This window comes from Homo sapiens, chromosome 6 (genome assembly GCF_000001405.40).
Source record: "Homo sapiens chromosome 6, GRCh38.p14 Primary Assembly".
Lineage (NCBI taxonomy): Eukaryota > Metazoa > Chordata > Mammalia > Primates > Hominidae > Homo > Homo sapiens.
The window spans coordinates 32,929,277-32,941,387 of record NC_000006.12 but is presented as its reverse complement, the minus strand read 5'-3'; the positions used below and the strand labels follow the sequence as shown (position 1 = coordinate 32,941,387).

The window sequence follows — 12,111 nt, the reverse complement described above, 5'->3', positions numbered from 1 at the left end:
TCTCATCTCAGGACAGACAAGGGTTTTTGTAATTATCTTCTTGGGTAACCTCCCTGTAAGGAATAGGAGAGGTTATCTGGTCCTGGTCTTTTGGGAGAGCATTGAGAAGAAAAAGTTAAACCAGTGGGCAGCCCAGGCTGCATACATCCTGGGAATATTGCGATTATTCTCTCCAGTAATCTACGGAAATCTACTGGTTGTTCTGCAGAAAAAGAATTAAGAGAGACAAGGAGACCTGTTGTCTAAGACTAAGGCAGGATGACGTTTACCTAGTAACTGATGATGCTAGGCTGAGGCACTCAGTGATTTGTCTCTACATTTGTCCCTGCCTACCTAGCCAATCTGTCCCTGTTTGGGACACTGGACTCCCGTGAGCTGGAAGGAACAGATTTAATATCTAGGGGCTGGGTATCCCCACATCACTCATTTGGGGGGTCAAGGGACCCGGGCAATATAGTATTCTGCTCAGTGTCTGGAGATCATCTACCCAGGCTGGGGCTTCTGGGACAGGCGAGGACCCACGGACCCTGGAAGAGCTGGTCCAGGGGACTGAACTCCCGGCATCTTTACAGAGCAGAGCATGATCACATTCCTGCCGCTGCTGCTGGGGCTCAGCCTGGGCTGCACAGGAGCAGGTAAGGACACTTCTTCTGGGGACTCTCCCTTCCCCTGCTCCTGTTTCAGGGTAAGGGTGTTCCGTTTTGTAATTGCATTTGACACCCCAGATAGTTTGTCTCCCTGGTATACATTCCTATAGCACTTTGTACTTTGTAGCAATTTTAATGTAATTAATCTGTATAATTATCTGTGCAGTGTATATTCCCTGCTGGAATATAGGCAAGGACAATGTTCATCTTATTTATTGCTGCCTCCTCAGCTCCTAGCACAGTGCCTTGCATGCAGCAAGTGCTTCATAAATATGTGCGAAGTGAATATTTAATATTTCCAGCACAATACAAGGCTGACTCTTTCTCTTGACCCTTTTTCTCTCTCAATAATTTGCCTTACTGAAGGTCTGTGTTCTGGGCAAATTGTCATGTTTAAACATGCAAATAATCTCGGGGGGCTACTCCTATCCCTGTGCTTAGTCTTGCATAAAGAGGAGACTGGATCTAAAAACTTATCTACTACTTCTACTGACTCCCTCAAATCAGACTTTCAGAAACTTCAGTGTATGAGCTTGGTCAGTAGATGTTCCCTGAGCAGGAAATCTGTGCCAGACTAGCTGGATGTCACCAAGGCTTAGGTTCTGAGCTGAATATAGGAAAAATCAACTTTTTTTCTTCTATATGCTCACACTCAACACTTCTTTGACCAACTGTGTGAGGTTTTTTTTTTTTTTTTACTCATACCAACCAATTCTCCTATATTAGCTGGATATCCTATAATTCAATTCCATTGTGACATTAACTAGAGTTAACATAGACACCAAAGGTTAAAGACTCAGTCCCATAAGACTGCCTCCATTTCAGACACCAATCACAAGTAGTAGGTTCCCAAATTACCCACATCTTCTGTCCAACTTGCCTACAAATCAGAGGTTCCCATGACCCCCTCCTTGGGGTTGGTAATTTGCTAAAGTGGCTTATGGAACTCAGGAAAAGTTTACTTATTATTGTAGATTTTTTACAAAGGATATTTTAATTGATAATAATAATTATAAATATTCATGGGGTGGATAATGATGTTTTAGTACATGTAATGTACAGTGATCAGATCAGATCATCATCTCATTTATCATTTCTTTGTGTTGGAAACATTCCATATCCTTCTTCTAGCGATTTGAAATGATATAAAGTATTATTGTTAATGACAGTCATCCCACAGTGGTATAGAACACTAGATCATAATTTTGCATCCTTTAACAAAGGATATTTTAAAGCATACAAAGGAACATCCAGATGAAGAGATACCAGATCTGGAAGGGTCCCAATCACAGGAGCTCTGTCCCCACAGAATTGGGGTACTTCACCTCCTGGCATGTGGATGTGTTTACCAACTGAGAAGTTCTCTGAACTCCATAGTTCCGGGATTTTTATGGAGGCTTCATCATGTAGGCATGACTGATTATTAACTCAATCTCCAGCCCCTTCCCCTTCAGGGAGTATGGGGGATGGGACTAAAAGTTCCAGACTTCTAATCATGACTTGGTCTTTCTGGTGACCAGCCCCTCCTGCAGGAGCCCACCAAGAGTACCTCATTAGAACAAAAGACACTCCTGTTATCTAGGAAATTCTAAGCGATTAGGCACTCTATGTCAGGAACCAGGGTCAAAGACAAAGCTCTGTGCAGAGCTCCTAAATATACGTCTGTATGTTTTATATATTTATTATTTGTGTATATTTATTATTTATATATTTATTTATTTATTGCCAGGCCAGTAGAAGACATTGACCTGTTCTCCCTTCCCTGGCTCCTCTAGGTGGCTTCGTGGCCCATGTGGAAAGCACCTGTCTGTTGGATGATGCTGGGACTCCAAAGGATTTCACATACTGCATCTCCTTCAACAAGGATCTGCTGACCTGCTGGGATCCAGAGGAGAATAAGATGGCCCCTTGCGAATTTGGGGTGCTGAATAGCTTGGCGAATGTCCTCTCACAGCACCTCAACCAAAAAGACACCCTGATGCAGCGCTTGCGCAATGGGCTTCAGAATTGTGCCACACACACCCAGCCCTTCTGGGGATCACTGACCAACAGGACACGTGAGGAGAGAGGGGTGCAGAGGGGCTACCAGGAAGTGCAGTTAGGAGGGCAGGCCAGGGAGGATCCCACAGTGGCCCAGGGGTTTGAGATTTGAGCAGCAAATAAGAGAAAATGTGTGGATCTGAAATGTAGAAAGACGGAGGATTGAACCTCAAGGGGAACAAGGTGGCTGACGTGAGTGGAACAGGAGTAAAGAAGGGGAGGTGAGGCTTGAACCGCGAGGTGCCATGTGGGGAGCTTATGCAGAGGCTGGGGCATCTCAGGATGCATACCCAAGATGTTCTTGCCTTGTTATCCCAGATTTTGATGTTCCAGATCTGATGTGGGCCCAGGCATGGGAATATTTGGAATCCCAGGGGATTCTGACACATGCTTTTTCTCACCCTTAAACTCTTGCATTGACAATGGCTTGAAGTTTGTGAAAGTAAACTTGAAGATCTCCACAGTACAGAACAGTGTGTCTCAAGGGTGGTTTCTGAACCACCTTTCTCAGAATTGCCTGGAGGAGGTGCTTGTTAAAGATGCAAGCCCCTTAGTACCACTCCAGATCTGTTGAAAGAAAGTATCTGGGGATACAGCCTAGGAAATCTGCATTTTAACATAATTCCTTGGATTTTTATTTAAGATTGTGTTTGAAAAATGTCAAGATAGAGGCAAGCAAGAGGATCACCTAGGAGAGTAAATTAGTAAAAGATGGCAGTATTAGCAATCTCATTAGTTTGACTACATTCATTCCAAATTTAAGAGTGAGTCCTAAGTTAGGCTTGTTTCCTTGAACTATGTGAGGAGAAAAAGCTTTAACTAGCAAAAGAACGTATTAAACAAGATTTGGAGAAAAATTCCTTTTCCACCTTAAAAAAACCCAATGTACAACTCTGGATTACTCTTAGCTTCCTTATTTCAAATACTTTCCAGTTTATGTACTTGAAATAAATACAACAACTTCTAGAACAGCTTGCAGTTCAGATCTGGCTTTTACTAATTGTAATCAAACATAATTCTGGAGGAGGAAAGAAAGAAAGGGGCAATGAAGGAATGGGAGAGAAGAAAGAGTAATGCAGGAATACATTCTAACGGTTCCCCTTCAAGGGGCAGCATGGCAGAGGGGGCTGGGGTGGAAAGTGGGTTGCAAAATCTACGAAGAGTTGCGATAGGGAAGAAACCAGGTTGAGGAAGCAGCCAGAATGTCACCCTCCTTCCTAAACATGTTTTTTTCTCCTATGCAGGGCCACCATCTGTGCAAGTAGCCAAAACCACTCCTTTTAACACGAGGGAGCCTGTGATGCTGGCCTGCTATGTGTGGGGCTTCTATCCAGCAGAAGTGACTATCACGTGGAGGAAGAACGGGAAGCTTGTCATGCCTCACAGCAGTGCGCACAAGACTGCCCAGCCCAATGGAGACTGGACATACCAGACCCTCTCCCATTTAGCCTTAACCCCCTCTTACGGGGACACTTACACCTGTGTGGTAGAGCACACTGGGGCTCCTGAGCCCATCCTTCGGGACTGGAGTAAGTGTATGGCAGATGGATGGAATTAGGGTCAAAGCAGAGAAAATGAGATGTGGATCGATACATGGTACATGGTAGACAGCGAAGTGCTGAAAATGGGGACTGAGTCTGGAGGAACTTACGGGGGGCTTAGGACCAGAATGGGGAAATGGGATAAAGAAATGGAAATATTTAGGTTGGTGCAAAAGTAATTGCAGTTTTTGCCATTACTTTCAGTGGCAAAAACCGCAATTACTTTTGCACCAGTTTAATATTTAGTCTGTGCTATTGCTGCTCTGGTGGTGTGGCTGATGTTGCTGCGTCTATGTTTGAGGGTGAGAGGGGAGCGTGCTTGCTTTGAAATGAGGCTGTAAATTTGGCAATCATATTTTCAGAACCCCAAATTGTAATACACTATTCTAGCCTCCTTAGATTTCAACTATTCTGGTGCCAGAAGCAGATGGGAGCTGAAGGAATGATGAAGGTTGAAGAAGGGGGGCTTTTCTTGGTGTGGGGCAGTACTGCATTTGGCCTGCTCTACCAAGCATACGGGAGTAGTAAAGCCACGGCTGGCAGACCATTTGGCATGCATGCTCAGGGGCCAGTGGATAAAGAATTACTTACAGTTCAAACACTGTTTGAACTCAGTGTCGGGAGTAGTTAAAGGTATCGTGAGAAGTTGCACACAGCTTTGGGGACTCTTGGAAAAGAAAGAGGAAGAAATGAGGAAGAGGAAGGGTGTCTACAAAGGGCCAGAGAACAGGATCTCAGATCAGCTGCTGTAACCAGGTTTCCCCTTGTGGGAAGTGTTGTTTCTTGCTGGGCAGTTGGGAAGGGAATGGAGAACAGAGAAGAGAGTGGAAATCACATGCTCACTTGAACTTTCCTGGGGAACGTCTCCTCACAGCGTGCACAAGAGCCTCCCTTTAGAAATGGAGTGTTCATTTTATCATGGGAAAAGAATCTGAGTGGGACATGATTCAGAACAGGACCGGCCCAAGGAAGTGCAGGGGCTGTGGAGTGGGATGGAGACAAGCTCTGAAAGGACACATGGGAGATCTAGATGTAGGAGGTACACAAGTAGTAGGATAACTCACAGGATGGATCCACTGGAGGTTAAGACATGTGGTAAGACAGTGTAATAGGAAGCTGCTCAGTTGGAGAAAGTAAGGAAGCAAACATTGTTACCGTGGGGGCAATGGAGAGGACAGTGAGGAGCCCTTTATCCTGATAAGGGTGGCTTTGGGGTAAAGGAAGGAAAGAGGATGCCTTGAGAGGCCCCACTGTATTAGAGAGGACCTGGAAGCCAGGATGCTAATTCTGGGGAGATGGGTTCCCCAGGCTTACTCTAGGAGTAGAGGTCCATGGGACGAGGGTTTGATTTGAGAAAGATCATTTTCTTGGGAGTGGGTGGTGTGAGCTAGACCCTTGGAGCTGGGATAAAGGACCTTTTAACCCACTGAGAGGTGGCTGCAATAAATGGAATTGCCCTGGGGGTGAGCAACAGAAACTGGGTCAAGTAAGTTTCTATTTTTTGCAGCACCTGGGCTGTCCCCCATGCAGACCCTGAAGGTTTCTGTGTCTGCAGTGACTCTGGGCCTGGGCCTCATCATCTTCTCTCTTGGTGTGATCAGCTGGCGGAGAGCTGGCCACTCTAGTGAGTGACTCGCTGAACTCCCATCCCCACTCTTGGTCCCACTCTCTGCTTACTTTCTGTTTGTGATTAACTCTCTCCTTCCTACTGCATTTGCTATGAATACTGCTAGATATTTTCATCCACAAAGACTGGTATAATCAAGTATCTTCCTCTCTTAGGTTACACTCCTCTTCCTGGGTCCAATTATTCAGAAGGTAACATCTCTGTTGGTCTGTTTCCCTACTTGCCCTTTGGTAGGGGTGCGGGTTAGAGGGGTCAGTGTTGGGTTCAACTAATCTTGATTATTATATGGGTGAGCTTCCATGAGGATCTAGGCAAGGGCATGATTTAAGCTGCCATTGCTAGGATTAAGAGCAGGAAGGAGCATCCTCCTCTTCTACCAAGTGGGATGTCTGTGGAGAGGAGGCTGAAGGTGCTTCCTTTGTATTAGTTGTTGGTGCCCTGGAGTTTTCAGTATCACTGTATTAAGGCATGGGATGGTTACAGTGACAAACGATGGGGGCAAGTTGGGTTGAAGCCTCATTATCTCCCTTTTATTTATTCTGTAGGATGGCACATTTCCTAGAGGCAGAATCCTACAACTTCCACTCCAAGTGAGAAGGAGATTCAAACTCAATGATGCTACCATGCCTCTCCAACATCTTCAACCCCCTGACATTATCTTGGATCCTATGGTTTCTCCATCCAATTCTTTGAATTTCCCAGTCTCCCCTATGTAAAACTTAGCAACTTGGGGGACCTCATTCCTGGGACTATGCTGTAACCAAATTATTGTCCAAGGCTATATTTCTGGGATGAATATAATCTGAGGAAGGGAGTTAAAGACCCTCCTGGGGCTCTCAGTGTGCCATAGAGGACAGCAACTGGTGATTGTTTCAGAGAAATAAACTTTGGTGGAAATATTGTTTTTCCATGTCTTCTTCCTGGGGCCCTGGGGAAGGAATATGGGCAAAGCAGGGACTGAGGTTAATTCTCTTCTGCTTGAGTAGGGGAGAAATCAATGCCTTCTTCCATTTTCCCACTTAGACATGACAGAATTTGGGGCCGTTTTCTGATTTATAATTCATAAGGAGAAATTCAACTGTGGTGGGTTGGAGTCACAGAGTATGGGCAAGGAAGGGAATTAACAGCTTACTCACCTCATACAGGATCTTATGAGGATTAAATGAGTTCATACTTGTAAATGGCTAAGAACACCGCCAGGCACATAGCCAGCCTGCAATAGTGACGTTAGCTATATTCGATTATTCAACTTTCTGGCCAGGCATTGTACCAGGTGCTTTGATCCTCATCACAACCGTAAGGCAGACCCCTCATACCCCTCAGGATTCAGGGGACAGAGCTTAACTCCAGATTGAGTTCTAGACAGTTATTTCTTCCATACCCTGAATGCAGAAGGGAACATAGCTTGAGTGATTATTATGTCTTAGGCACTGGTCTCAGACCTTTATATTTGTAGCTCATTCTCTTCTCACAATAACCACACAAGGGACAGATTGTTTCCCTCTATGTTACAGACAAAAGATGTGAGGCTCAGAGACATTTAAGTGACTTGTCCAAGGTCAAAGAACAGATTTCTGTAGGATGTTTGTCTACCTGAGCTGGAAGTAGCAGATTACTTTATTCTGAAGACCCTCATGCTGGTGAGCACACATCTCTTCAGAGCCACCGTTCCATTCCCTTCTACCCCAAGACCAAGGAGAGCCCTTTGGGGGAATGGACTCCACCCTAAGGAAGAGAGGATGCTGGCTGGTGGTTTGTTGTCCCACGAAGGGCGACACCTGCTGGACACAGAAACCTAGGGTGTGGAATTGTTTTTGGAATTAGAGCTAGATACTAGAATATGGGTAAGAAAAAGAAACCAAGAAATGAGTTGATTTGGAACACCTCCATAATTTCTTCAGAAGCATCCTTGGAATTAGAGCATCTCTTCTGGAAGGGGTTAACAGAAGAAGTCAGTGGAAGGAACTTAATCTCTACATTTTACCATTTTTATGTTTCATTTTCATTTTTTTCTATTCACTGTTTTTGTTTTTATTTTTGTTTGTTTGACAAAGCAAATTCCTTTTGAAATTCTAGTTTAGTCTAGGAATGGGGGGCTTTGGGCCTTGTCTATATCTGGGCAGTTTTATTTATTATTTTTATTTTATTTATTTATTTTTTTTCGAGACAGAGTTTTGCTCTTGTTGCCCAGGCTGGAGTGCAATGGCGTGATCTCGGCTTATTGCAACTTCTGCCTCCCATGTTCAAGCGATTCTCCTGCCTCAGCCTCCCAAGTAGCTGAGATTACAGGCGTGCACCACCATGCCTGGCTAATTTTGTATTTTCTTAGTAGGGATGGGGTTTCACCATGTTGGTCAGGCTGGTCTCGATCTCCTGACCTCAAGTGATCCACCTGCCTCAGCCTCCCAAAGTGCTGGGATTACAGGCGTGAGCCACCGCACTAGGCCTATCTGGACAGTTTTAAAGGAGAAGCTGCAGATCTGAAGGGTCTAGTTCTAGTCACAGCAGTGGGAATCAAAGTGGCAGGATCCCAGAGAAAGGAAGTAGAGAGTTAGCTAATGGGACGGCTTCCAGTTCCTTTTCTAGAGATTCCCAGTGCAGGCTTTTCTCTGCCCTAACTTTGTAGGTTTTTTGTTTTATAGGAAAGGCTGTCCCCTTTCAGGTAAGGAATAGGGAAAAGTATATGTAGGTCTCCTAGGATCCAGAAAATCAGAATACTATAGGTAGAAAGGGGAGTTCTTACACAGGGGAATGAGTGGTACTTGAAAGGAAGGTGGAAGAAGGGTGATGGTGCACCAATTGTAGGAGGATGAGGAGAAGAGAATGGATGCTGCATGAGGAGAATGGAATGTAAACATAATGGATTGCCAAAAAAGGAGTGCGTGTGTGTGTGTGTGTGTGTGCACTTGAGCACATGTGAGAGAAAGAGAGGAAAAAAAGAGAAGGAGTGGAAGAGAGTAAGAGAGAGGGAGCAAAAGGGTGAGAGGAGAGAAGTGGAGTGGGAGAAAGAAGGAGAGGGACATAGAGAGAGGGAGGGAGGGGAGCGGGGGAAGAGAGAGAGAGCTGGACTTTCGGGTTATACATAATCCAAGCTGCACAAAGAATTGTTTTCGCCCTTCAATGTCTTGTTGTTTTAAAAGCTGAACTTGGAGCTAGAATTGGTTTTAAAGGTCATCTAGTCCACCTCCCCTCCCATGAAAGAACTGGGCCTGTGTTAACAAGGGCACACACAGTGCAGGGAGTTCCTTCAACACTTGGGGCAGATAACAATATTTTAGAGAAACGCGTTGAGCCCACATTTGAGCTTCTTCTTTTGACCATTAAAGACAATGAGAATAAATCTCAAATACACCACGGGAGGTGGTATCCTTGGCATTTTTTTTTTCCCTGAGGGAGAGCATGTTCCTAGGTTCCAGGTTCTCTTTGCCTCCCTACCCACGAACACATGCATGTGAAAGAAACAGACAAGATTGACATTTAATCCCAATGTCTATTTATGAAAATTATCTTTAGGCCATTTTCTCAAGTTTTTCTCTTTCCAAAGTAAAATTGGGCAAATCAGATGAAAAACGAGGGTGGAGTTCAACCCCATCCTCAAATCCTTTTTTTTTTTTGGCTTGAGTGTCTGTCATTCCCAAGAGCCCTCCAACTGCCTTGAAGCAAGGCATGGGGGATTTCTCCGTGGTGCTTCCTGCCACTACTTGGCCAGACCAGTCTCCAGGGGTTTCAGAGAGTGGAGAGGCCCCAAACCTATAGAGACTACTCCCAGATGGGGGGCTCCTTGTTTCTCCAGACCCTTCCTCTTCCATTTCATATGAGGCTTCTAAGAGGCCCCTGGCCGTGCTGGTCTGGGGCAGGGAATAAAGAAATGGCTTTTATTGTATCAGAGTCTCAACAGAAAACAGATGGCATACTCGAAATAGGACATTTCAAGGAAAGTTTATTTATTAGCAAAGTATTTACAAAGAACTGGGTGGAGGATAGCTGTTACTACCCCAAGGTCCAAAGAGGCCGGGGACAGAAGGGGTTATCAGGACTCAGAAGGACAGCAAGCCCTGTACAGTCACCACCTTGCCAAGGGCAGTGCCCTTCAGTCAAGGGACACAACAGCTTAAGGTGACCTTGTAGGGAGGAAGCCAAGGGATTAGAAACACTGACCTCACTCCCCTCTTCCCTCTGCTCTTAGGCTGATGCTGGAAGCAAGAAGAAGCCAGGGAGCATGGGAGCCATTCAATGTCATGCAGGTCAGCACCTGAGGCAGACCCCAGGTGCAGAAGTATTGAGAGTGGGTCCAGAAGGACAGATGGAGGACAGGAAGTACATTCACAACAAGAAGGAAAAACGTCAATGTTGTGGGGTGGAGAGAGAGGTGCAAAATCTGGGCTTCTTTTGGCCTTGGACAATGACAAGCGCATAGTAGCAACAGAAACTAAGTTTGTAGTTTCCTACTGGGGAGTTTGGGAGGACACTCACTTCTAGTTCTGTCTTCCCCACTTGAATTTTGATTGTGGTTATACTGAATTTATAGAAATTTGGGGTTAACTGACTTGTTTTTATTACTAAATCATACCATGCAAAAACAGGATGTTTTCTCATTTATTGAAATCATTTTGTTTGCTCTTTATTATGGTTTTTAAACTTTACTTTTTCATAGTAGTCCTGAGTATGCTCAGTTAATTCTTAGGCATGTTGTAGCTTTTGCTGCTATTGTGATTGGTATCTTATTGCAATTCTACTTTTGAATCAGTAATTTCTGATGTAGAAGAATGTATCTAATTTAAAAAATTGTGGTTAAAAAAATAACATTTACCGTCTTAACCACTTTGAAGTGTACAGCTCAGCAGTGTTAAGTATATTCACATTTTTGTGCAACCAATCTCCAGAACTCCTTTTCACCTTGCAAAACCAGAACTCTACACCCATTAAACAACAACTCCTCATTTCTCTCTTCCTCTAGCCCCTGGCTACTATCACTCTACATTCTGTTTCTATGAATCTGACTACTTCAGATACCCTGTACAAGTGCAATCATGGAGTTTTTGTCTTTTGGCGATTGGCTTATTTCACTTAGCTTAATGTCCTTAAAATTCATACTTGTTGCAGCATGTAAGAGTGCTTTCTTCCTTTTTAGGCTGAATAATAAGCTACTGTATGTATATGCCATATTTTGTTTGCCCATTCATCTGTCTATGGACATCTTTGTTGCTTCCACCTCTTGGCTATCGAGAATAGTGCTGCTATGAATATGGGGGAAAATATCTGCTTAAGTCCCTGCTTTCAATTCTTTTGCATTTATACCCAGAAGTGGACTCTTGGGTCATATAGTAGTTTTACTACTGATTTTTTGAGGAACTGCCGTACTGTTTCCCATAGCAGTTACACATTTTACAATCCCACGAACATTGCATATAAAGGTTCTAATGTCTCTACATCCTCACCAACACTTATTTCTTCCCTCCCTCTCTCCCTTCCTTCCTTCCTTCCTTCTTTCCTTTCCTCCTTCATTTGCTCCCTCCTTCATTCCCTCCCTTCTTTCCTTTTTCCTTTCATTTTTATAGTAGCCATGCTAATGAGAATTAGATGATGTTATGGTTTTAATTTGCACTTCTCTAATAATAAGTAATGCTGAGCATCTTTTCATATGTGTGTTTGCCACTTGTATATCATCTTTGGAAAAATGTCTGTTGAAGTTTGTTGCCCCCTTTTTAACTGTTTGTATAAACAATTATTGTTGGGTTTTATGAGTTCTTTACATATTCTGAATATTAACCCTTTATTGGATATATGATATTCAAATACTGATATATGATTTTCAAATATTAGAAATTAATAATTTTTGTAAGTTGATCTTATATGGGACAACCTTGCTCGATCCTCTTATTGGTTTTAGTGGGGTTTTTGTTGTTGTTGTTGTCATTGTTGTTATTGATATTCTCTCTGTCTCTCTCTTTTTCCAGGTAGATAATAGTATCATCTGCGAGCATTGTTTTGTGTTTTCCCTCTTAATCCTTAGTGTTTTATTTTTCATGTTGTTGACTAGGATCTTCAATGCTGTGTCAAACAGTAGGGTGATAATGAGCATTACTCTTAAAGGAAATAAACCTAAATATTCTCCATTAAGTATAAATTTTGCTGTATATTGTAGATTCACATGCAGTGGTAAGAAATAATAAAAACAATCCTGTGTATCCTTTACCCAGTTTCCCTTGATGGTAACATTTTGCAAAACTATGGTACAATATCACAATTAGGATAC

The 12,111-nt window shown here is 43.5% G+C and overlaps 1 protein-coding gene across 1 annotated transcript, besides 6 other annotated features; it reads left to right on the top strand.

Moving 5' to 3' along the window:
- The first annotated feature begins 359 nt into the window (after nt 1-359).
- HLA-DMB (major histocompatibility complex, class II, DM beta) lies at nt 360-6,752 on the top strand. The gene is made up of 6 exons (NM_002118.5): nt 360-635; nt 2,423-2,704; nt 3,932-4,216; nt 5,736-5,852; nt 6,011-6,046; nt 6,401-6,752. The coding sequence occupies exons 1-6, from the start codon at nt 581-583 to the stop codon at nt 6,415-6,417; spliced, it is 792 nt and encodes a 263-aa protein (NP_002109.2). The 5' UTR covers nt 360-580; the 3' UTR covers nt 6,418-6,752.
- Nucleotides 5,166-5,965: a meiotic recombination region, noted in NCBI's record as "crossovers mapped in sperm cells of males of European ancestry". NCBI's record gives the evidence for it as "EXISTENCE:DNA detection assay evidence [ECO:0005519][PMID:11586303]".
- Nucleotides 8,216-9,515: a meiotic recombination region, noted in NCBI's record as "crossovers mapped in sperm cells of males of European ancestry". NCBI's record gives the evidence for it as "EXISTENCE:DNA detection assay evidence [ECO:0005519][PMID:11586303]".
- Nucleotides 8,216-9,649: a biological region, named in NCBI's record as "meiotic recombination hotspot DMB2".
- Nucleotides 8,291-8,306: a nucleotide motif, noted in NCBI's record as "nucleotide motif; similarity to the predicted 16-mer PRDM9 C-type binding motif, CCNCNNTNNNCNTNNC". NCBI's record gives the evidence for it as "COORDINATES:motif similarity evidence [ECO:0000028][PMID:21750151]".
- Nucleotides 8,309-9,649: a meiotic recombination region, noted in NCBI's record as "meiotic double-strand break mapped by DNA meiotic recombinase 1 chromatin immunoprecipitation followed by single-stranded DNA enrichment and sequencing in the germ cells of some male individuals with the PRDM9 A/A genotype". NCBI's record gives the evidence for it as "EXISTENCE:chromatin immunoprecipitation-seq evidence [ECO:0000229][PMID:25395542]".
- Nucleotides 9,282-9,294: a nucleotide motif, noted in NCBI's record as "nucleotide motif; similarity to the predicted 13-mer PRDM9 A binding motif (LD hotspot motif), CCNCCNTNNCCNC". NCBI's record gives the evidence for it as "COORDINATES:motif similarity evidence [ECO:0000028][PMID:19165926]".

Coding starts and splice junctions, on each gene's coding strand:
- HLA-DMB (NM_002118.5), top strand. CDS start 581: ATGATCACATTCCTGCCGCTGCTGCTGGGGCTCAGCCTGGGCTGCACA. Junction 4,217..5,735: donor GCCCATCCTTCGGGACTGGA/GTAAGTGTATGG, acceptor TATTTTTTGCAG/CACCTGGGCTGTCCCCCATG. Junction 5,853..6,010: donor GCGGAGAGCTGGCCACTCTA/GTGAGTGACTCG, acceptor TTCCTCTCTTAG/GTTACACTCCTCTTCCTGGG.